Source organism: Homo sapiens, chromosome 6 (assembly GCF_000001405.40).
Source record: "Homo sapiens chromosome 6, GRCh38.p14 Primary Assembly".
NCBI classification, from domain to species: domain Eukaryota; kingdom Metazoa; phylum Chordata; class Mammalia; order Primates; family Hominidae; genus Homo; species Homo sapiens.
In genome coordinates this window covers 39674617-39696391 of record NC_000006.12, presented here as the reverse complement: position 1 = coordinate 39696391, position 21775 = coordinate 39674617, and the positions used below count along the sequence as shown (strand labels likewise).

The 21775-nt window shown below is 38.0% G+C and overlaps 1 protein-coding gene across 10 annotated transcripts in view; it reads left to right on the top strand.

Annotated features, from left to right (window-relative positions):
* The window catches only part of KIF6 (kinesin family member 6), a 395419-nt gene that overhangs the window by 29017 nt on the left and 344627 nt on the right, over window positions 1–21775 (top strand). Inside the window, exon 4 of one of the 10 annotated variants that reach the window (NM_001351503.2) lies at window positions 4530–6419. The exons of the other annotated variants lie outside the window; for them this stretch is intronic. Within the exon in view, the coding sequence (NP_001338432.1) occupies window positions 4530–4626 (97 nt within the window). The 3' untranslated portion in view covers window positions 4627–6419. Of the gene's footprint in view, window positions 1–4529; window positions 6420–21775 lie in introns of those variants that run through there. 10 annotated transcript variants of the gene reach the window in all.

Sequence of the window (21775 nt, the reverse complement as noted above, 5' to 3'; positions counted from 1 at the left end):
TCAATTATGCACCTTCTAGGCAACAGGAAGGAAAAAGTGGGAGAAGAAGTTTGGAGCCCCTCATTTTTAAAGAGAATGTTTAGTACTATTATTTTTAAATTTTAGATTCAGGGGTACATGTGCGGGTGTATAACATGGGTATATTACGTGGTTCTGAGGTTTGGGCTTCTAATAATTCCATTGCCCAAGCAGTGAACATAGTACCCAACAGGTAGATTTTCAACTCTTGTTCCTCTTCCTCCTTCCTCCCCTCCACTCCCCCTTTTTGGAATCCCCAGTGCTTATTGTTCCCATCTTTGTGTCTTTGTATACCCAATGCCTAGCTCCCACTTACACGTGAGAACATGTGGCATTTGATTTTCTGTTTCTGTGTTAACTCACTTAGGATAATGCTGCTGCAAAGGACATGATTTCATTCTTTTTTATGGCTGTGTGGTATTCCATGGTGTATATATACCACATTTTCTTTATCCAGTCCACCGTTGATGGGCACCTGTGTTGATTCCATGTCTTTGCCATTGTGAATAGTGTTGTGATGAGAATACGAGTGTGGGTGTCTTTTTGGTAGAATGATTTGTTTTCTTTTGAGTATATACCCAGTATTGGGTTTTCTGGGTCTAAAGGTCATTCTATTTTTAGTTCTTTGAGAAATCTCCAAATTGCTTTCCACAGGGGCTGAAGTAATTTGCATTCCCATGAACAGTGTAGAAAGATTCCCTTTTCTCTGCAACCTTGACATCTGTTATTTTCTGACTTTTTAATAATAGCAATTCTGACTGGTGTGAGATGGTATCCTATTGTAGTTTTGGTTTGCATCACTCTGATGATTAGTAATGTTGAGCATTTTTTATCTTGGTTGCCCATTTGTATATCTTCTTTTGAGAAGTGTTTGTTCTTTGTCCACTTTTCAATGTGGTTGTTTGTGTTTTTCTTATTGATTTCTTTAAGTTCCTTATAGATTCTGGATATTAGTCCTTTATCAGATGCATAGTTTACAAATATTTTCTTCCACTCTGTAGGTTGTCTGTTTGCCCTGTTGATAGTTTCTTTTGCTTTGCAGAAGCTCTTTAGTTCAATCGTCAATTTTTGTTTTTGTTGCATTTGCTCTTGAGAACTTAAGTTATAAATTCCTTGCCTAAGCCAGTGTCTAGAAGGGTATTTCCTAGGTTTTCTTTCAGAAATTTTATCATTTGAGGCCTTTCATTTAAGTTTTTAGTCTACTGAGTTAATTTTTGTATATGGTGAGAGGTAGGGGTCCAGTTTGATTCTTTTTCATATGGTTAGCCAGTTTTCCCAGCACCATTTATTCAATAGGGTATCCTTTCCCCATTGTTTATTTTTGTTAACTTTGCCAAAAATCAGTTGGTTGTAGATGTGCAGCTTTATTTCAGGAGTGTCTATTGTATTCCATTGGCCTGTGTGTCTGTTTTTGTAATAGTACTATGCTTTTTTGATTACTGTAGCCTTGTAGTATAATTTGAAGTTGGGTAATGTGATACCTCTGGCTTTATTCTTTTTGCTTAGGATTGTTTTGACTCTTTGAGCTTTTTTTTGGTTCCATATGAATTTTAGGATAGTTTTTTTCTAAATCTGTGAAAAATGATGTTGGTAATTTGATAGGAAAAGTGTTGAATTATTTGATTGCTTTGGGCAGTATGGACATTTTGGTAATATTGATTCTTACAATCCATGAACATAGAATACTTTTCCATTTGTTTGTATCACCTATGATTTCTTTCAGCAGTGTCTTGTCATTCTTCTTGTAGAGATCTTACCTCCTTGGCTAAATCTAGTGCTAGGTATTTTTTTGGTGTGTGTGGCTATTATAAATGGGATTGCATTCTTGATTTGGTTCTCAGCTTGAATGTTATTGGTGTACAGAAATGATAGTGATTTTTGTATATTGATTTATGTATTCTGAGACTTTGCTGAAGTCATTTATCAGGTCTAGGAGACTTTCGGCAGAATCCTTAAGGTTTTCTAGGTATAGAAACATATCATCAGTGAAGAAATAATTTGACTTCTTCTTTTTCTGTTTGGACGCCTTTTATTTCTTTCTTTTGCCTGACTGTTCTGGGTGGGACTTCCAGTCCTATGTTGAGCAGGAGTGGTGAGAGTGGACATCCTTGCCTTGTTGCAGTTCTTAAGGGGAATGCTTCCACCTTTTGCCCATTCAGTATGATGTTGGCTGTGGGTTTGTCATAGATGGCTTTTATTATTTTGAGGTATTCTTTTGATGCCTCATTTGTTGAGGGTTTTTTTTTTTACCATGAAGGGATGTTGGATTTTATTGGATGCTTTTTCCATATCTATTGAGATGATCATATGGTTTTTGTTTTTAATTCTACTTGGTGAATCACATTTATTGATTTGTGTATGTTGAATCATCTTTGCATCCCAGGAATAAGATCCAACTGATCATGGTGAATTAACTTTTAGATGTACTGCTGGATTTGGTTTGCTGGTATTTTCTTGAGGATTTTTGCATCTATGTTCTTCAGGGATATTGGCTTATAGTTTTCTTTTTTGTTGTGTCTTTGCCAGATTTTGGTATCAGGATGATGCTGGTTTTGTAGAATGAGTTAGGAAGGAGTCATTCCTCCTCAATTTTTTGGAATAGTTTTAGTAGAAATGGTACCAGCTCTTCTTTGTACATCTGGTAGAATTCTGCTATAAATCCTTCTGGCTCAGGACTCTTTTGGTTGGTAGATTTTTTTTTTATTACTGATTCCATTTTGGAACTCATTATTGGTCTTTTCAAGATTTCTGTTTCTTCCTGTTTCAGTCTTGGGAGATTGTGTGTTTCTAGGATTTATCTATTTTCTCTAGATTTTCTAGTTTATGTGCATAGAGATGTTCATAGTAGTCCCTGAGGACCTTTTTAAAGATAATTATTGACAGTTACACACACCACATAGAGCTCATTAGCCATAACTTAGTCACATGGCAATACCAAGCTGTAAGTGACTCAGGGAAATGTAATTCTTTTAGTTGGGTGACAGTGTACCCAATTAAAATCTGGGGTTTTGTTACTAGAGAAGGAGAGAATAACTACTGGGAGGCAGCCAGGCATCTCTCCCTCACACTTTATCTCCTAAGATATGCATCAAGCATTAGTTATTGAGCTGGAAGACCTTGTGACTTGAGTTAGGAAAGTCTTAATATCTCTGGATTTGTGCTACTGTGGTGCCCTTAACAGCTCTCTTCCTTTCCTTGTTTAAGGCCTCAGTCAGACGAGCTAAAACAAAGTGGCTCCTGGAGGATATTCTCATAGTACCAACCTCCCAGGGGCATATGCGTACATTGATCTGGGCAGCGCAGCTGTACGCCAGTTCCATGTGTGACCACTACTGAGTCATGCCCTTTCATTACCACCTAAGTGAATCCATTCTTCCCTGAGGGAATTGATAGGTGAGAGTTGTTTATGATAGTTATATTTTTGATGCTGAGAGGCTACTTCATTTCTATCCTAACTAGCAGGTGCATTGCTATATGACTTTTAAAAGTGAGGCTTTTTTATATTAAGTACAGTATACTCTTCTCTAATGAAAAAAAAATATGGAGGATAACTCTTCTGTTTCATCTCATGTATTGCAAATCCTTTAAGGACGAGTAAGAGTACAATAGGGTTGTTTATTAATTAACCATCAGTAAATTTATCAAAGTATAGGTATGGTAAAAATGTTTCTCCTTAGAAATTACTTGACAAAATAAGTAATGAATGGAGGTTCAGAAGTATCTCAATGATATAACCATCATTCTATCACAGTTTTAGCTTATTGAGGAAGTACTTGGCAACTTACCTGATGTTGTCAACCTAAGATTAGAAGTACCAGCAACAAGTGAGTGCAAAGCTTCCACAATGTAATTCTTCCTGTGCGTGATTCTGAATATCTATTATAGTGACCTCAAACAAAACCAGACTGCACAGTGTCTCCATGTGACCATCATGTTATGAAAAGAATAGCAATATTTACTTTGGGGAAAGTTAGGTGATTGTTTAAAAGTGAGTACAGACAAGCTGATTTTCTTTAGTTTTAAGTTTGAGCTTTTGTTGGTTTCTTGCTCTACCAAAATATTGGAAGATAAAAATGAGAAGAATCAGGGCAGGGGAGACAGGTTTGTTTGCAAGTTCTTTATTGACCAGGTTGAGATGTTCTGAGGATGATGATTTACGTTTTTTCTGTACACAGTAAAGAGTTATTTCCTGAATGCTGAAGAATCTATGTTTTTGTTTTTGTTTTGAAACGGAGTCTCGCTCTGTTGCCAGGCTGCAGTGCAGTGGCGAGATCTCAGCTCACTGCAACCTCCGCCTCCCACGTTCAGGTGAAGAAATCTATGTTTTTATCTGGAGTAGTATCTTCCAAATGTTTTCCCTTGTATTGTTAATTAACACGTTAGTCTTGATTTGTTCCTTTTGGTTTGTTTTTGTTTTTTAATAGAAATGTATCCTGTATTCTGTTAAATTGGCCACGGTGTTACACGGTGACTGTAAGAAGTGAGAATTCATATCTCATTTTCTATCTCAGTCCTACAGGAACTGGATCAACCCAGCAAGTCTGCAGTTCCCAAGGTCTTCAGGATGAGGCACCAGTGCAGTTATGTAGTATTTTTCCGCCAAAGTGATATGTTTTAAACTGACAGATTTTCATTGTTCCATTTGATGCTAATATTTTCTTCTAACAATAGCTTTTCTCTTAATGATGCCTTTTACTTATGTAAACATGTTTTTCTCATAAAAACTTAAATAGTCATTTTGCTTTTTATTAATGGAATCACCACCAAGCAATCTTTATAAGATTGTCATTTATATGGCTACATTAAATAACACAGTTCTGTTTTCATACATAGAAATTCTAATAATATAAAAAATTATGTAGCCAAAAATATTGAAACATTTATACATGAAAAGCTTGAGTCACAGAAACCTAGGGTTGAAAGGAACTTCAAGGTCTTTAGCCTTCCTCCAAGAAATATAACTTACAAAAGTGAGCAGAAGTTTTTATATATTCACTTGCCCTTAGGCTCTTAATTTAACTCCACACTGAGCATTTTCGACACTGACTTGTTTTGAGAAAGGTTATCATAAGGGAGCTTTTCCGTTTCTGCTACCTCAAATGCGTGTATCTTTTTTCTTAGCCTTTCTTCCTTTACTCTTCTCTCAGAAATATTTCTCTTTACTATCCTTACTACATGGAGCTTTGTTTCCAGCTAAGTTTGCTTTTTTCAGAAGTTTATCTCCTAATTCAGTTCCAACCAGGGTTGCCAGATTTAGAAAATGAAAAATATAGGACTCCCAGTTAAATGTGAATTTCAGATAAATGGTGAACACGTTTTTAGTATAAATATGTCCCAAATGTTGCATGGGTCATACCCATAAAATTATTCATTGTTTCTCTGAAATTCAAATTTAACTGTATTTTATTGGACAACCCTATGTAAAACCCTTATGCCTGCAACCTTGTCTGTAAATTTCCTTTGCTGAAGTTCACATCTCCATCAGTGCACTGAACTACGCAGAGGACACTCTTCTGTGGCTGCATTTTCCTCTGCCTGCAGCCATTTCCATCTGGATCCTGCTCTGTTCTCCCCTTGCTGGTTTCTCAGCTTACCTGCAGTCCCCCATTGGCCACTCTTCTTGAGCTGTCTCCTGTTGGTGGCACAGCAGTGTTTATTATGCTTGACACTCCTAGGTTACCTTGAGTCCTCCTTTACTCTTGTCCTGGACAATAACAATTCCTGTTCATTCTTCTTCCGCAGGGGGATCTTTCCCTCCTTCCCTCCTCATCTTTACTTCCCCTTCCCCTTCTCCCTCCTGTCTGTCCCTGCTTGTCTGTTCCCTACACTGCCCTCATTCAGGTTTCTGCCCACCCACTTGCCCACCCAGCCTCCTGCTCTAGACACTCCCTGTCCAGGCCATCTTGCACTGCCTGGTTAATCATTCAGAAATATTGTACCAATTCTACTCTTTCCCTCCTTCAGTGACTTACTATTGTCTGCAGAATGAAGTATAAGTTCCTTATTCAAGGACTCATATGCAGGAACTTTCCAGAATTGTCCTCTTCCTATTTCCCTAGTGCCATTGACATCGTTACTTTGCATCAGTGCCTACCACCCTTTCCGATACTCTCACTCTTTCACTATAATATATTATTGAAAACTCCCTTCGGGAAGTTTTAAATTATGTAATCATTTGGCATACAGATAAAAGGAAGCATTATTTTAGTTTATATCACTGTATTAGTAAATGTTACATTATATAGTTTATCCTAATAAAATGTAATAATATTCACATTATATAAATAGCAAGAAATGTTTTGACTTTTCCCTATTTAGCAAATGACACACACTTTCTTGTATTTGAATTAATTAGATAATTAAAAATGTGATTTTTAAATAAAATTTAAAATGGCACCTTTCATTATGTTTGGCTTCATAACCAAATATATACTGAAATGTACATTATTGTTAACCTGTACTGACTGGGTGCGATGGTTGACACCTGAAGTTTTTAATTCCGGCACTTTTGGAGGCTGAGGTGGAAAGATTGCCTGAGCCCAGGAGTTTAAGACCAGCCTGGGCAACATAGCAAGACATGGTCTCTACAAAAATTTTAAAAATTAGCTTAGCATGGAGGTGTATGCCTGTGGGTCCAGTTACTTGGGAGGCTGAGTGGGGAGGATCCCTTGAGTCCAGGAGGTCAAGGCTGCAGTGATGCAGTGAGCCATGTTTGTGCCACTGCACGGGCCTGGGTGACAGAGTGAGACCCTGGCCCTCTGAAAAAAAAGAAAAACAAAAAATAAATTATATGACAGCAGAATTCATGACTGACCTGATGTTTAATGCTTGCATTTTGCATTTTTATTTATTATTATTATTATTATTACTATTTTTTGAGAAAGTTTCTTACCCTGTCACCCAGGCTGGAGTGCAGTGGTGTGACCAGGGCTCATTGCAGCCTCAGCCTCCCCACGCTCAGGCGATCCTCCCACATCAGCCTTCTAAGTAGCTGGGACCACAGGCACGCACCACCACACTCAGCTAATTTTCATATTTGTTGTAGAGACAGGGTTTCACTATGTTGCCCAGGCTTGCCTGAAACTCCTGGGTTCAAGCAATCTCACCTCCCAAAGTGCTGGGATTTCAGGCATGAGTCACCGCACCCAGCTGCATTTTGCATTTTTAAATCAAATCTCAAATCAACTAATATATTTTCATATTTGTTATATTTCTTTTCTCTTTTCTTTTCTTTCCTTGTCTTTTCTCTTTTTTTTGCAGACAGCGTCTCACACTGTCACCAGGCTAGAGTGCAGTGATGCAATCATAGTTCACTGCAGCCTCGAACTCCTGGGCTTCAGTGATCCTCCCACTTTAGCCTCCCAAATAACTGGGACTACAAATAAAAAATTATCCAGATGTGGTGGCACACACTGGGCTAACTTTTTATTTTTCATAGAGATGGAGTCTCACTATGCTACCCAGGCTGGATTTACATTATATTTCTAAGTGTTGAGCTAAGAAAGTGGATTGCAGGTTGCTATTTCTAAGAATTTTCTACAGTGAATATCCTTCAGACTTAGATCATCTTTATTCACAATAAATAAAAAGCCAGATTGTATACAGTTCTCCACTTCCTCCTCATGACTCTCCATTTGTTTTTATTGCACAAGCCCAAGGCTCTGGGGAATATGTCTCAGAGGTGTACCTTACCACACTTCTTTTTATGGGTTTGGCTTGATTACAAATGCTGTGGCAGCTTCTTGGGAAATCTGAGAAAGGCTACTACTCGTTCCTGTGGTACTTCTTTTCTCATTCTTTTCTCCTGGGCCACAATATATTGAATAAACAATGAGTTCCTGGCCGATATCTATCAAATGAAAATAGGGTTCTATTCATGTGAACTTCTATCTCGGTGCATTTATCCTCACAACTGGTACTGATTAATATGATGTAATTACATTCATTACAGCGATATATATTTGGCAAAAGTAAGATGTGTAGTCATCAGGTGTTTCCCAGTACAGTGAAGTGCTTGAGTGGGATCTCTTCATTTGCCCTGCCATGAAGAGATCTCCTGTCTTCCCTTCTCCATCTGCTGTCTGTCCTGGTAGGCTGACCTGTGTGGGCTCAGTAACCTGCCTCCTGCCCTCTGGCCTCCCAGTGGGGTCAGCCAATGGGAAACCCCAGCAGGAGATCAGAGGGGAGGACAGTGAACTCAAAATATGTTTCCCCCTTGCATTCTCCCCTGCAAGGTCACCCTGGATTGGCAGTTTCTCCAGACTGAAGATGAGTTCCTTCTCAAGACCACCTATTCTGTAGAACTTTCTCACTCCTTTTGGATTCCAGTAACCTTTCAGGCCTACGGGGGTTAACAAATCTACTGCTAGCCGCAGGTTTCAGCACTATGCTTTGTGGTTCCCCTGTATATACACACACACATCTTTGTCACAAGACCCTCTATGAATGGAGTATGCCATCTATTTCCTATTGGGGTCCTTGTTGATATAGTGCTTTACATGGAGTAATTAAATAATCCTCTCAACTAGAAAAGTATCCTCATTCTGTGGAAAAGAAAAGTGCAGCACAGCTACACTCAATGACCTGCAAAGGTTGCATGGCTAATATGTGATAAAGCCAGGATTTGAGCCCAGAAAGTCTGGCTGCAGCCTAGTGATTTTAACCTAAGTATGATAATATGTATAACACAGTTATTACATTGTTGCTTTAGGAATATTTATACTAACAAAATGTATTAAAATTAATCATGCTGATGACAGATAAGGTTGATCACCCAAATTATCATTCCTCCCCACCTAGCCCTTTCATCTGCATACTTCAAAAGATGCTGATTATTTTTTCCCTTTTACCCAGGAAAGAATGAAAGAATGATACTCTTTGATGTTAAGGAATAAGAAGTTCAAATTTTACTTATTACTTTCAGACCTTTTAGAGAACAATTCTTTGCCAACAACTAAGTATTCTCTTTAAAATATGAACTCTCAAAGGCTCAAATTTAGCTTCTTTCTTTTCTTAAGAGCCCGATGTTGGGCGTTAGTATTCATTTTTCAGAATGACCTAGTTTCTACATAATTTTGGTCCTGTCCGTTGGTTCCCAGAACTGATGTAGTCGTCATTTTGTTGTCTGCTTTGTGTTGGGGGATGTGTCTTCTTCTGCCCTGCCCCCTACTTTCACCACTCAGTATTCATTGTTCATTGTCTTCCATATTCATCTGTGGTGTAACCGGTCACATTTTCCATCCTCTTGGGCTTGTGTTGTGGCGCTGCTATTGAATGCAGCTGCAGTGTGTTGATTCTGGACTCTAGGTATCCTGGGTTGCTACAGAATACTGCTTCTAGATGACTTATTTGGCAGCTGAAATTTCTTCCAACACAGCAGCCTCCTAAAGTGTAGCTTCATTTCTTCATGCTAAAATACTAAAAATAAAAAACCAGCCCTGTTCTTTATTTTGGGATCTTTGGATCATTAAAATGTCATAGAATGGTAGCCTGTAATTATACTAGTCTCAGGTATACACTAGCTTTAAAAATGCAATTGGTTTCTAGGAGCTCAAAGAAGAAAAAAACATGCATTAATGATTCAGGTGTTCTTATTGTTAAAAAGAGTACAATAGAATGAGTGGTTGTTTATGCTTTGGGTCTTGGGTGGTTATTCTATAGTGAAGGTCCTGGTTTTGACAGATTTGTTCACAGTCATTTTTTTCTAATGTGGGGGGTTAGGTTATGAGAGAAAGCCAGGGTTTCTTTGCAGTTCACTCTGCTTGCCTGGAATCTCATTTGATATTACCATGGGCTAAAACTGCCAAACTAGGGAATTTGGCCAGAAAATCTAATCTGTGAACACAAGCAATCATTTATATTTTCTCAAACTACTCACCTTGGGTTGTATTTAAGACTTATTCTGAAATAAACTGTAGCTTTAAGACTATAAGAGAAAGCTGCTTATTAAAAAGTTTCCATTTGCCATGTGATTGGCATAATTAGCATCTTTTCTATCAAATGTTTTTGCCTACAGAAAGTAAATTTTAAGTGCATTTTCAAAGGTTTGTTAAAATAAAAGGGGTAATTCTGGTTGCATCTATTTTTCAAGGCAAATTGCCAAAAAAAGATCAATGTGGTAGTGCCTTTTGTTTAAAAAAGCATTTTACATACATTTGAAATCCAGACAGATCTATTAAGCTAAACACCTTACAAAATATGATTTATTCAATTGTCCTGGCAAAGACTTAAGAAGAAGATGTCATTTTGAGCTCTTTTGTTTATTTTCATCAAAAGGCTCTTTCATCTGCCATCCAAATAAGAAGATATATTTACGTACAGAGATGGTTTAAAATCCAACCCTCATCATGAAAGAATAAAATTTCAAAAAAAGTCATTAAAAATCAATTAAAACAAAAGTAGATTTATGCAGCAGATTTTTGCATTGTATTCATTAAAAACGTCAGTATCTGTGAGTTTAATTTGCTACAAAGGAAAAGTAAATAAAGAGATTGCCCAAACAGAGGGGAAAATAGGAGTAGAAGTTTTTCTAGAGCGTTGGAAATTTGGAGGGGCTATGACCATTCAACCATCAGTTCTGTCTGCTGGCAACTACTGTGCCCCATGTGGGGTTGGACCTGTGGTCAAGAAACACCATTTAAGCCTTCCATTTCTTTTTCTGTCATATACTCAGCAAAATTTCCCCTCTGGTTAAACTCGATCATCCACCTACTCTATCTCTATGGCTGGGCTGCTGAATATTGCTGGAGTAAAATATTAACTGAAATGATTGAACTCACTATAGACTCATGCCTGCATATTTCAAATGGGCACTTAGTGCAGACTTACAGTCCTAATACGCTTCTCTGGTATGTTCACCTTCTCACTGTCAGAGATGACTGTTTCCCAATTTGGTTCTTCTCAAACTTCCTACATTCCCTTCCCTTGCTCTCACTTTCAGCTTCCTCATACTTCGCTGAGTAAATAGACCCAACCAATCAAGTACAGCCTCATTCTCCCACGTCATATCTGCCAGCCTGCATCTGCACCTAATTCCTTGGCCTCCCTCCTGTTACTGTAGTCAGAGCTCTACTGTCTCTGCCAAAGGCCAGTCCTCCATTTGTTTCCTGAGGCCTTGTTGTCTTGCCATCTCAAGTATATTGCACTTGCAGTTTTCTTCTTTCCACAGCATCGCTGATTTTTCCAACTCTATGAGATCATTCTCATCAGTTCATTGTAGTATCTGCTCTCTTAAAATAAAACAATGACCTTCATTTACTCTCATCCCTTCTAGCTATTTCCCATTTCTGTGCTCCCCTTTTCCACAAAAACTACCTGAAAAGAGTTGTCTGTCCTCTTGCCTATACTTCACTTCCCATTTATTTCTGGACCCTCTCCAACTGGGCTTCTGTCTGTCTTCTCTGCCCTGCTGAGACTGCTTTTGCTTGTTAGAGTCATTAGTGATACTCATGTTGCCTGAAAGCATGGTCATGTGCCCATTCTTGTCCTATTTGATCTTTAAGCAGCATTTGACAGGGCTAAATTTCTTCCTCCTCCTCTTTAAAATACTTGTTTACTCTTAATTTTCTTTCTTTTTTTTTTTTTCGAGACAGAGTTTCACTCTTACACCCAGGCTGGAGTGAAGTGGTCCAATCTCAGCTCACTGCAACCTCCGTCCCCCAGGTTCAAGTGATTCTCCTGCCTCAGCCTCCAGAGTAGCTGGGATTACAGGCACTTGCCACCACTCCCAGCTAATTTTTGTATTTTTTTTTTTTTTTTGAGACAGAGGTTTGCTCTTGTTGCCCAGGTTGGAGTGCAATGGCGTGATCTCGGCTCACTGCAAACTCCGCCTCCCGGGTTCAAAGTGATTCTTTTGCCTCAGCCTCCCGAGTGGCTGGGGTTACAGGCTTGTGTCACCATGCCCAGCTAATTTTGTATTTTTAGTAGAGACAGGGTTTCTCCATGTTGGTCAGGCTGGCCTCGAACTCCCAACCTCAGGTGATCACCCACCTTGGCCTCCCAGAGTGTTAGGATTACAGGTAATTTTTGTATTTTTAGTAGAGATGGGGTTTCTCCATGTTGGTCAGGCTGGTCTCGAACTCCTGACTTCAAGCAAACCACCTGCCTTGGCCTCCCAAAGTGCTAGGATTACAGGCGTGAGCCCCTGCACCCGGCCTACTCTTAATTTTCATAACATCATACTGTGGTAGCTATGGAAGTGTCCTGTGTCTCCCTTCATGAGTATCTGCTGCAGGGCAAGAGCTGACTAGCAGCCTTCAGCTACCATACCCCTAGATTGAACACAGTGGAAACACAATCCAGGCTTCCTTGGAGTGTTCCCAGTCAATAACTGAGCATGATGGGGATACTAGAATTGGAACATTCTTTCATTACATGAGAATCTTCTAATTGGCAATGTTGAATCCAAACTCTCCTTTGACTAGGTCAAGTCTTTCTTAGAACTGAGCTCTTCGTATCTAATCCTTACTATCCCTGCCTCCTTTCACAGATGTCAGATCCACACCAGGTCTGAACCTCTCATTACCTAATCCTACTTCCTCCTCTTTTATATCTCTCTTGTACATCTAATTCCATCTTGGTGTCAGATTTCCAGAGGATGACCCAAACAGATACACACTATCCTATTCCCTTACCCACTCGGCTGTTCTTCTGTCTTCTTTGCCTATTCCTCCTCTCCTTCATGAGCCCTTAACACTGATGGCCCCAACCTTGGACTAAGTCTTCTCTTCTTGATCTCTTTATGATCTCATTCAGTTCCATGACTTTGAATATAATCTTTATGTCATTGATTCTCAAATCTGTATCTCTAGCTCTGATCTCTCCCCAGAACTCCAGACATCTGTATCTAGTCACATTCTTGACATCTCCACTTGGGTATTTATGAACATCTAAAAGTTGGTATATTTTAAGGAACTCTTGATCCTCTTTATCCAAATCTGTCCTCCCTCAATTATCCTTTTCTTAGTAAATGGCTCCAGTCATTCTGATTTGCTCTTTTCCTCATCTCCTTTCAGCAGGTCCTGTCAACTGAACTCTAAAGTATCTCCCGAATCAATCAATTTGTCTCCATTTTCATTACTGCCACCCTAATCAGTTTTGCAGCAATCCTCTAACCCTTCACTCTCTTGGCCACTTATAGTCCAGTCACCATTCACTAGCCAAAATGAGCTTTTAAAAATGCAGATCATATCCAATCATCCCCCTGTTTAAAGTGCTATAAAGGCTCTCTCAAACTTTGCATAAAACTCAGACTATACCTTGTTTGTAAAACCCTGCCATCTGGCCTCTACCAGCCTCTCAGACCTACCTTTTCCTTTCCTTTGCCCAGGCTCAGCAGCTTTCTTTTGTTTCCTAAAATAAGACAAGATTGTTCTTGCCCTTTGGCCTGTTACCTTATCTCTAAGTGTCCTTCCTCCTTATCGCTTAGATCTCAGTTTTACTGTTAGCTCCTCAGAAAGGCTTTGCTGACCTCCCAATCGCATTAGAAATATCTAGTCACGCTGGCGCGGTGGCTCATGCCTGTAACCCCAGCATTTTGGGAGGCTGAGGTGGGTGAATCACAAGGTCAGGAGTTTGAGACCAGCCTGACCAACATGGTGAAACCCCATCTCTACTAAAAATACAAAAATTATCTGGGTATGGTGGCACACACCTATAATCTCAGCTACTCAGGAGGCTGAGGCAGGAGAATCGCTTGAACCCAGGAGGTGGAGGTTGCAGTAAGCCAAAATTGCGCCACTGCACTCCAGCCTGGGCAACAGAGCAAGACTCCATCTCAAAAAAAATAAAAAGAAATTATCTAGTCACATTGTAGTGCATTATTTTATTTGCATTCTCTTCATAGTTCGATTATGCACTGCATAAGGACGTTTAGATCATTGACAGACCACATATACAAAAGTTATCCCATGAGATTATAATACTGTATTTTTACTGTACCTTTTGTATATTTACATATGTTTAGAGACACAAATGCTTAGTACTGTGTTACAGTTGCCTACTGTATTCAGTACAGTAACATCCTGCACATGTTTGTACCTTAGGAGCAACAGTCTATGCCAATATAGCCTGGGTGTGTCGTAGGCTAAACCATCTAGATTTGTGTAAGTACATGCTATGATGTTCACACAAGGACTAAATCTCCAAATGAAGGATTTCACAGAATGTATCACTATTGTTTAGCGATGCATAACAGTACTTATGCTTTCTGATCTTTTTCTTGTTTATTTATTATCTGTCTCCCCGATTCATACATAAGTTCCATGAGAACATGGTTCTTTTCTGTCTTCTTATTACTGCATTCCTAGCAGTGAGACCAGTGCCTGACACATGATATGTAGTAAGTATTCATAAATATCTGTGGAATGAGTAAGTTGACAGAATTCAGTATTTCCCCCGATGAGCATTTTTTTTCTCTGAAAGAAAAAAATGGTGAATTTTCCAAACTCTACATACCCCTGTAGTTCTTCCTACATTCATCATTCCCTAAGATGTGCTTTTCTTTGGATTTGTACATAATGCCAATACAGTTAAAATCCCATTACAGTGAATTCCACGGGGCATGCTATTGGCTTTGTTATAGCGGAATTTGTCACAGGGCCAGAAATTGCATTTCCAGTCCACAGAAACTAAGGATGAAACTGCTTATTGTCCATTTCTCCGTGGAATTGGGAAGGGAAGAGTTCTGACTCTGAAATGAGAAGTGAGATCTATCTAGTGAACCTCCTGCCTCTTCTCTAGCCTCCCTGATATTTTACATGGAATGTTGGCTTTGGGTTTTTTGTTTGTTTCTGGCTGAAGGATTTGAGTATTGAAAGAAGTAGGGGTAGTTGAGGAAGAGAAAAAAATTAAAAGGCAATTATGATTTGTTGACAAGAAAAGATTCTAGAGTTTTTTTTTAAAACATTAAGGTAAATAGTATTCTCTCCTACTTTTTGTAGCATAAAAAGCTACATCCTCAGGTGCTGTTTTTATACATGAAAATATACATGAACAAGGGCCAGAAAATGAAACAAAACAAAACAGAATACAGTTCCTATAGTGAACTATTTGGTGTTGGCAGTTTGTTGTAAATAGAGAAGTGAAGGTCTTTTTGTTTTTGCTTTTAATTGGGTATTCTTCTGAAATATGGAAACAGCTTGGTTATATTATGAAGATCTTTCCTTCATTGTAATGGTCATTGTGTTCAAATCGGATCATCAAAATTTTGCCTTAATGTTATAGTATAAAAATGTCTTGAGTTATTTTTTATTTTATTTTATTTTATTTTATGTATTTATTTGCCCAGATTCAACTTCTCAGCATTGAATTACTTTTTGAAGTCATTTATTAAGAACTTTTATTGGCTTTCTCAGACAGACACATTTATTCCCTCTTCCTTGTACCCAAAGTACTTGATACATGGCCTTTATCATATTGTAATTGTATTTATCTGCCTGTGTCCTGTACACTGACCATACTAAAGACAAGCACTGTGTTTTATTCACTTTTGCATTCCCCACCTGCAGTCCTTCTTCTATTCCCTATTTTACCTAATAAAATGGGACAAAAAGGGTTTTAAATACATGTTTATGGAATGGTAGCACCACTTCTGTAGCTACCTTAGCTTATTGCCTTACTTTTATAACCACTTACTACATCTTCTACTGGCCTTTTTAGCAAAGCTGCTGGCTTAATGACCACCTATTTCTAGTCTTTGTCAAGTTGTCAGAGTAGCATGGGGTATTTGTTTCACTGCCTGTTAAACTGCATTCTCTCTCTTTTAGTTCTTAGATTAAGGTCTTCATTGATAAGCCCATCATGTCTCCCTCTACTATCTATCTGTGAGAAAGGTAGCTGACCCATTTCCCTTCTACAGTTTCATATATGCATTAGTGAATTTTCTGTTGGTGTTCTCCTGTTTACTGTATTGAACTCTAAGTTGTTTGAAGGCCTATCTAAACCAGTCAGTGCATAGTCACTGAAAGCCAGAGCTATGATGGGTACAGCAGGAATTACTGACAAATATTAAAGTGCCATGTCTGCTCTTAAGAAGCTGATAGTTTTCTGAATTAAAAACTAATTATACACCCGGGCATGGTGGCTCATGCCTGTAGTCCCAGCACTTTGGGAGGCTGAGGTGGGCGGGTCACTTGAGGTCAGGAGTTCAAAACCAGCCTGGCCAACATGGCGAAACTTTGTGTCTACTAAAATTACAAAAATTAGCCAGGTGTGGTGGTGTGCCGCTGTAATCCCAGCTACTTGGGAGGCTGAGGCATGAGAATTGCTCAACCCGGGAAGTGGAGGTTGCAGTGAGCTGAGATCACGCCACTGCACTCCAGCCTGGGCAACAGCATGAGACCCTGCCTCAAAATAAACAAACAAAAAAACTAACTATACTTGTTTTATTTGAGATGCCAGAACTTTTAAGATATACTGTTAGGTTATAACAGCTTCCATGTAAGAAAAGAAACCCTGCCAGCCAGGCATGGTGGCTCACGCCTGTAATCCCAGCACTTTGGGAGGCTGAGGTGGGCGGATCACGAGGTCAGGAGATTGAGACCATCCTGGCTAACACGGTGAAACCCCTTCTCTACTAAAAAAATACAAAAAATTAGCCGGGCATGGTGGCATGCACCTGTAGTCCCAGCTACTCGGGAGGCTGAGGCAAGAGAATTGCTTGAACCCAGGAGGTGGAGGTTACAGTGAGCCGAGATTGCACCACTGCACTCCAGCCTGGGCAGCAGAGTGAGACTCCGCCTCAAAAAAAAAAAAAAAAAAAGAAAAGAAAAGAAACCCTGCCATGTATTATCTATGCATTGATTATAAGGCTGATCTCCAATTCAGAAACATGGACATTCTGGATAGCATTCCATGGAGAGAGAATGACATGTTCAAAAGCCAAAGGGAATTTCAGAAGAAGCCAAAGGATCTAAAATTCTACTGGACAGATGACTCCTCTGTTAACTTTTCTTCCGTCTTCCTTGCCCTGTCCCCCACCGTTCCATTTCTAGGTATCTCACCCCTGGTGGTAAGGTAAGCATCAGTGAGGATAATACCGCCCTAATGCATCCCTTAAAAATGATATGATGTAAGCAGATTAACTGGACTCTTTAAAAAGAGACTGAGATATCATAAATTTGGCCATGTGAATTCATGTATCAGTACACACAGCACTGTTTTCCACACAAGTAGGTACAGTTAGTACCAATTAAATGATGGCTTCCTTTTGTCTTCATCTGTTTTTAATAACAGAACTCTAATTGTGTATACAAATTGATGTTTGGGCCAAGTCTGTTTTTACAAAGATGTTAGTTGTAAATTTAGCCCAACATATTATTTCAACGTGTGCTTTGTAACTTATTCTTCCTTTTAAAATTCTGCTGTCATTTGTTTGTTGAACATCAGTATGTGATTTTTTTATTTTCCTCTGCGGTGAATGTCTAGGAGGAAATACTGCTCTCTGGAAGAGGGTACTGGGGCCTTTTATGATTTATTTCTTCAGTTATTTTATTCCATGGTAAAGACTCCAAAATGTTCTATTGTAAAGACTCCAAAATGTTATAGAAGCTTGAATAGTTTCAAGTTAATTCTTTTAAAATCAAGCCTTTTGTTCATCTTTCAAACTCAACAGTGTCCTGATATGTCTGAGGTTTAGGAAAATTTGGCTCAAGTTGATGAGGGGGTCTAATATAGGTCTTTGTTGCTGAGTGAAATTCAGTGGTTTTGGCTCATGGGAATTTGTGCAAAATTGTTGGTTCGTTTGATTTGGTTCCCTTTGGGCTACACCCATGAAGTTTTCTTTGGGTTTAGATTGGTGATCCCCACCCCACACCAAACTCAAAGTGGAACACAGTGGGAATGTTGAGGTTTATACCTCAAGCTATAACTCATCCTAGAGCTTTACCCAGTTTTGAAAGAAAGAAAAGCCTGGCCTGTATTTTAAATCTGTAAGTGAAATATTTATTGAAACTAGACTAAACAATCCCAGAGTCAGTTGAGATCTTAGAGGTCATTTGACCAAACTCTCCACCTGACACATGATTCCAAGAGTCAATTTAAAATTGTCTGAATTATACTCATTTGGGTATATACCCAGTAATGGGATGGCTGGGTCAAATGGTATTTCTAGTTCTAGATCCCTGAGGAATCGCCACACTGACTTCCACAATGGTTGAACTAGTTTACAGTCCCACCAACAGTGTAAAAGTGTTCCTATTTCTCCGCATCCTCTCCAGCACCTGTTGTTTCCTGACTTTTTAATGATTGCCATTCTAACTGGTGTGAGATGATATCTCATAGTGGTTTTGATTTGCATTTCTCTGATGGCCAGTGATGATGAGCATTTCTTCATGTGTTTTTTGGCTGCATAAATCATGCTGCTATAAAGACACATGCACACGTATGTTTATTGCGGCACTATTCACAATAGCAAAGACTTGGAACCAACCCAAATGTCCAACAATGATAGACTGGATTAAGAAAATGTGGCACATATACACCATGGAATACTATGCAGCCATAAAAAATGATGAGTTCATATCCTTTGTAGGGACATGGATGAAATTGGAAACCATCATTCTCAGTAAACTATCGCAAGAACAAAAAACCAAACACCGCATATTCTCACTCATAGGTGGGAATTGAACAATGAGATCACATGGACACAGGAAGGGGAATATCACACTCTGGGGACTGTGGTGGGGTCGGGGGAGGGGGGAGGGATAGCATTGGGAGATATACCTAATGCTAGATGACACATTAGTGGGTGCAGCGCACCAGCATGGCACATGTATACATATGTAACTAACCTGCACAATGTGCACATGTACCCTAAAACTTAGAGTAAAATAAAAATAAATAAATAAATAAATAAATAAATAAATAAAATTGTCTGAAGTCTTTTTAATAACTAAAAAACTTCCTGCAATATTCCACGTTTATCCATTTGGATCAAACCTGTTGACTTTGTGGTCCAGGTTTGCTATATCCATGTGAATTTTTTTTCTGTTTGATTTATCAAGAACCAAGGGAGATGTGTTAAAAACCTTCAGATGCATATATTTCTACTTGTAATTCTGTCAATTTATGCCTTATATATTTGGAGGTTGTGTTATGAGTTTAGAATTGTTTCACCTTCCTGAAAATCCTCTCTTTTATCCTATGTAATGACTGATTTTATCTCTAACAATTCTTTATATCTTAAAGTCTATTTTACAAAATTATAGGTCTACTATATCTTTTCTAAAGCCCACAGTACAGAATATTATATAACACCAGCAAAGGATCTGGGCCAGCATTCAGTAATCAAGCATATTGATATGATCACAATAAAATGTGTGAATCTTTACACTAAGTGGGATATATAAAAATATATATTTTTTGTTTTTATTTTCAAGCTTCTTATATCCTTATGCTTTAGTTGAGTCTCTTTATAAATGACATGGATGATTTTTACTTTTATTCAAGTTTTAGTCGATTTAGTGGTTTGCCAACATTTGCAATCATTTCTATCATATTTACTTTTCAATTTAACCTTTTTTTCTGTGCCTTTTTCTTTTTTCTCCCACCTTTCCTACTGCCTGTTTTGCTGACAAACTTTTCCTTATTTGTTTTCTCTGCTAATTATTTGAAAATTTTGTACTTTCTTTTCTTTTAGTGGCTATTGTTAAAAATTTTTAAACATACTTGACTTTATAAAGTCTAAAATTAATGTCGCTACTTATCTGATATATATGATTCACTTTAATCACATACCTCCCATTTTCTCTATTGTTAAATGTTTTAATTCTATCTTGTTTTTATATGACTCATTAGTAATTACTGTTATTTTATTTAAAAAATCTGTGCATGTTTAGCTTATTCCCCGTGTTATCCTAGTTTCTTTGCTAAGTGTTGCCTGTTTTCACTTCTTTCTGGTTTCAGTTTCCTTCTTCCTGAAGTACATCCTTTGATGGCTTATTCAGAGAGGGTCTATTAATGATTAACTCTTTCATTATTTATTTCATTTGATTTACATATTAGCTGGGTGTGGAATTCTTGGTTGACAGCATGTTCTCTCAGTATGTTGAAGATAACGATTCCATCACTCTTTAGCTTTTGCTTTTGAGAAGTCTGCTTTAGTCTAATTGGTCTTTTTCAGGCAATGTCTTTTCTTGCATTTTTTAAAAGAGTTTTACTTTGTGCAGGTGTTTTATGGTTTCTCAATGATGCATCTCAATGTGGATTTATTTTTATTTATCTATCCCAGTTGGAACTAATTGTGCTTCCTAAATCTGAGGATTCATGTCTGTCACCAATTCTGGAAAATTCTCAGCTAGTCTTTTTTTTTTTTCCATATTTCCTTTCCTCCATTCTCTGTAGTGCCTATTTCTGTAACTCATATTAAACATACATTTTTCTTTTCATTCAGTGTTATCCCTTAGACTTTGAAAAATATATTTTCTTTCTTTTTATTGCTCTTTCTTGCATTTTGAGTAGTTTCTTCAAATATTTCTTCTAGTTCATTAAGCCTTTTCTCACCTATGTCTAATCTTCCATTTAACCCTTATATTGAGTTTTTAAAGTTTCAATGGTGATATCTTCATTTTTAGAAGTTCTACTTGGTCATTTTTTTTTCCTATCTGTTTTTGTGTTTCATAGTGTCTTGTTATGTTATTATTTTTTATAACTTATTTTGGGTATTTAATAATTTTAAACATGTCTATTATATAGTCTTATGTGATAGCTCTTGTATGTCTACACTCACTCTTTGTTATACCTGCTGACTCTTTTATGGTGGAATTGTGTTCTTGTGGGTTTTGTTGTTTTAGATTGTGAGCTCATGTTTGGTGGGACATTGTCTACTGGAGTCCTGTTCTGCTAGTTTATGGGCACATCACTATAGAGTAGATTTATTTTTGCTTCTGCCTGCTACTTCAGGGCTAGTCATCTTCAAACCACTTTTTATATTACTTTCTGTGATTGAGATTTGCATGACATTTGGGTAGTACAAATTTACACCTCAATTATGTACATGGATAGAGTCAATGTTTACAAATACTGAAGGAAGACTTTTCCCACCCATAGTTCAGGTAGAAAGGCAAGTTTCTTTGACATTCCTATTAGTGATAGCTTCAGGTTTATAAAGCCATCTTCAATTCAAATTACCCACTCCCTATTGGCCTAAGACCCTGGTTTCTGATGTCAGCCTTCTTTCTCCATCCCACACTCCTATGTGTGCCCCAGGATTAGCTCATAAGCTTTTATTTCGATTTTCATTTACTTCTTTGTTTTGGGTCCTTAGATATTTTCCTTACATTTTTGCAAATTTATGCATTAAAAGGAGTATGTATTATATTTTATCCAGAATCTCTAAGTAGATTTTAGAAGGAGAGATTTTAGGCTTTCTGGACAGCTATAGTGGGAGAATTGAAAGTCTGAGTCATTTTACATTTCCCTCTCCTGTACTAATGCAATTAATTTGTTTGTTATTATTGTGCTGCAAGACTTTTTATTGATCCCTGTTACTTTTTAAAATTGTTATTGTTAGGTTTGGTTCTCTCATTCTAGCTTTTTTGTCTTTAATCCTGACTCAGTTATCTAGTATGTTAGTTTTACCTCCCAGCCCTGAGTCATTTGTAAATTTGATGTGCATATTATCTGGGTATTCCATAATTGTTTGGTAAAAATATTAAACAGGAGCCATTCATGTACATAGCCCAGGAATAGGCCACTAAAGATTTTCCTGTCAGTGGGTATTGATCAGAACTCTTTGAAACTGTTGCAGATGTCTCCAACT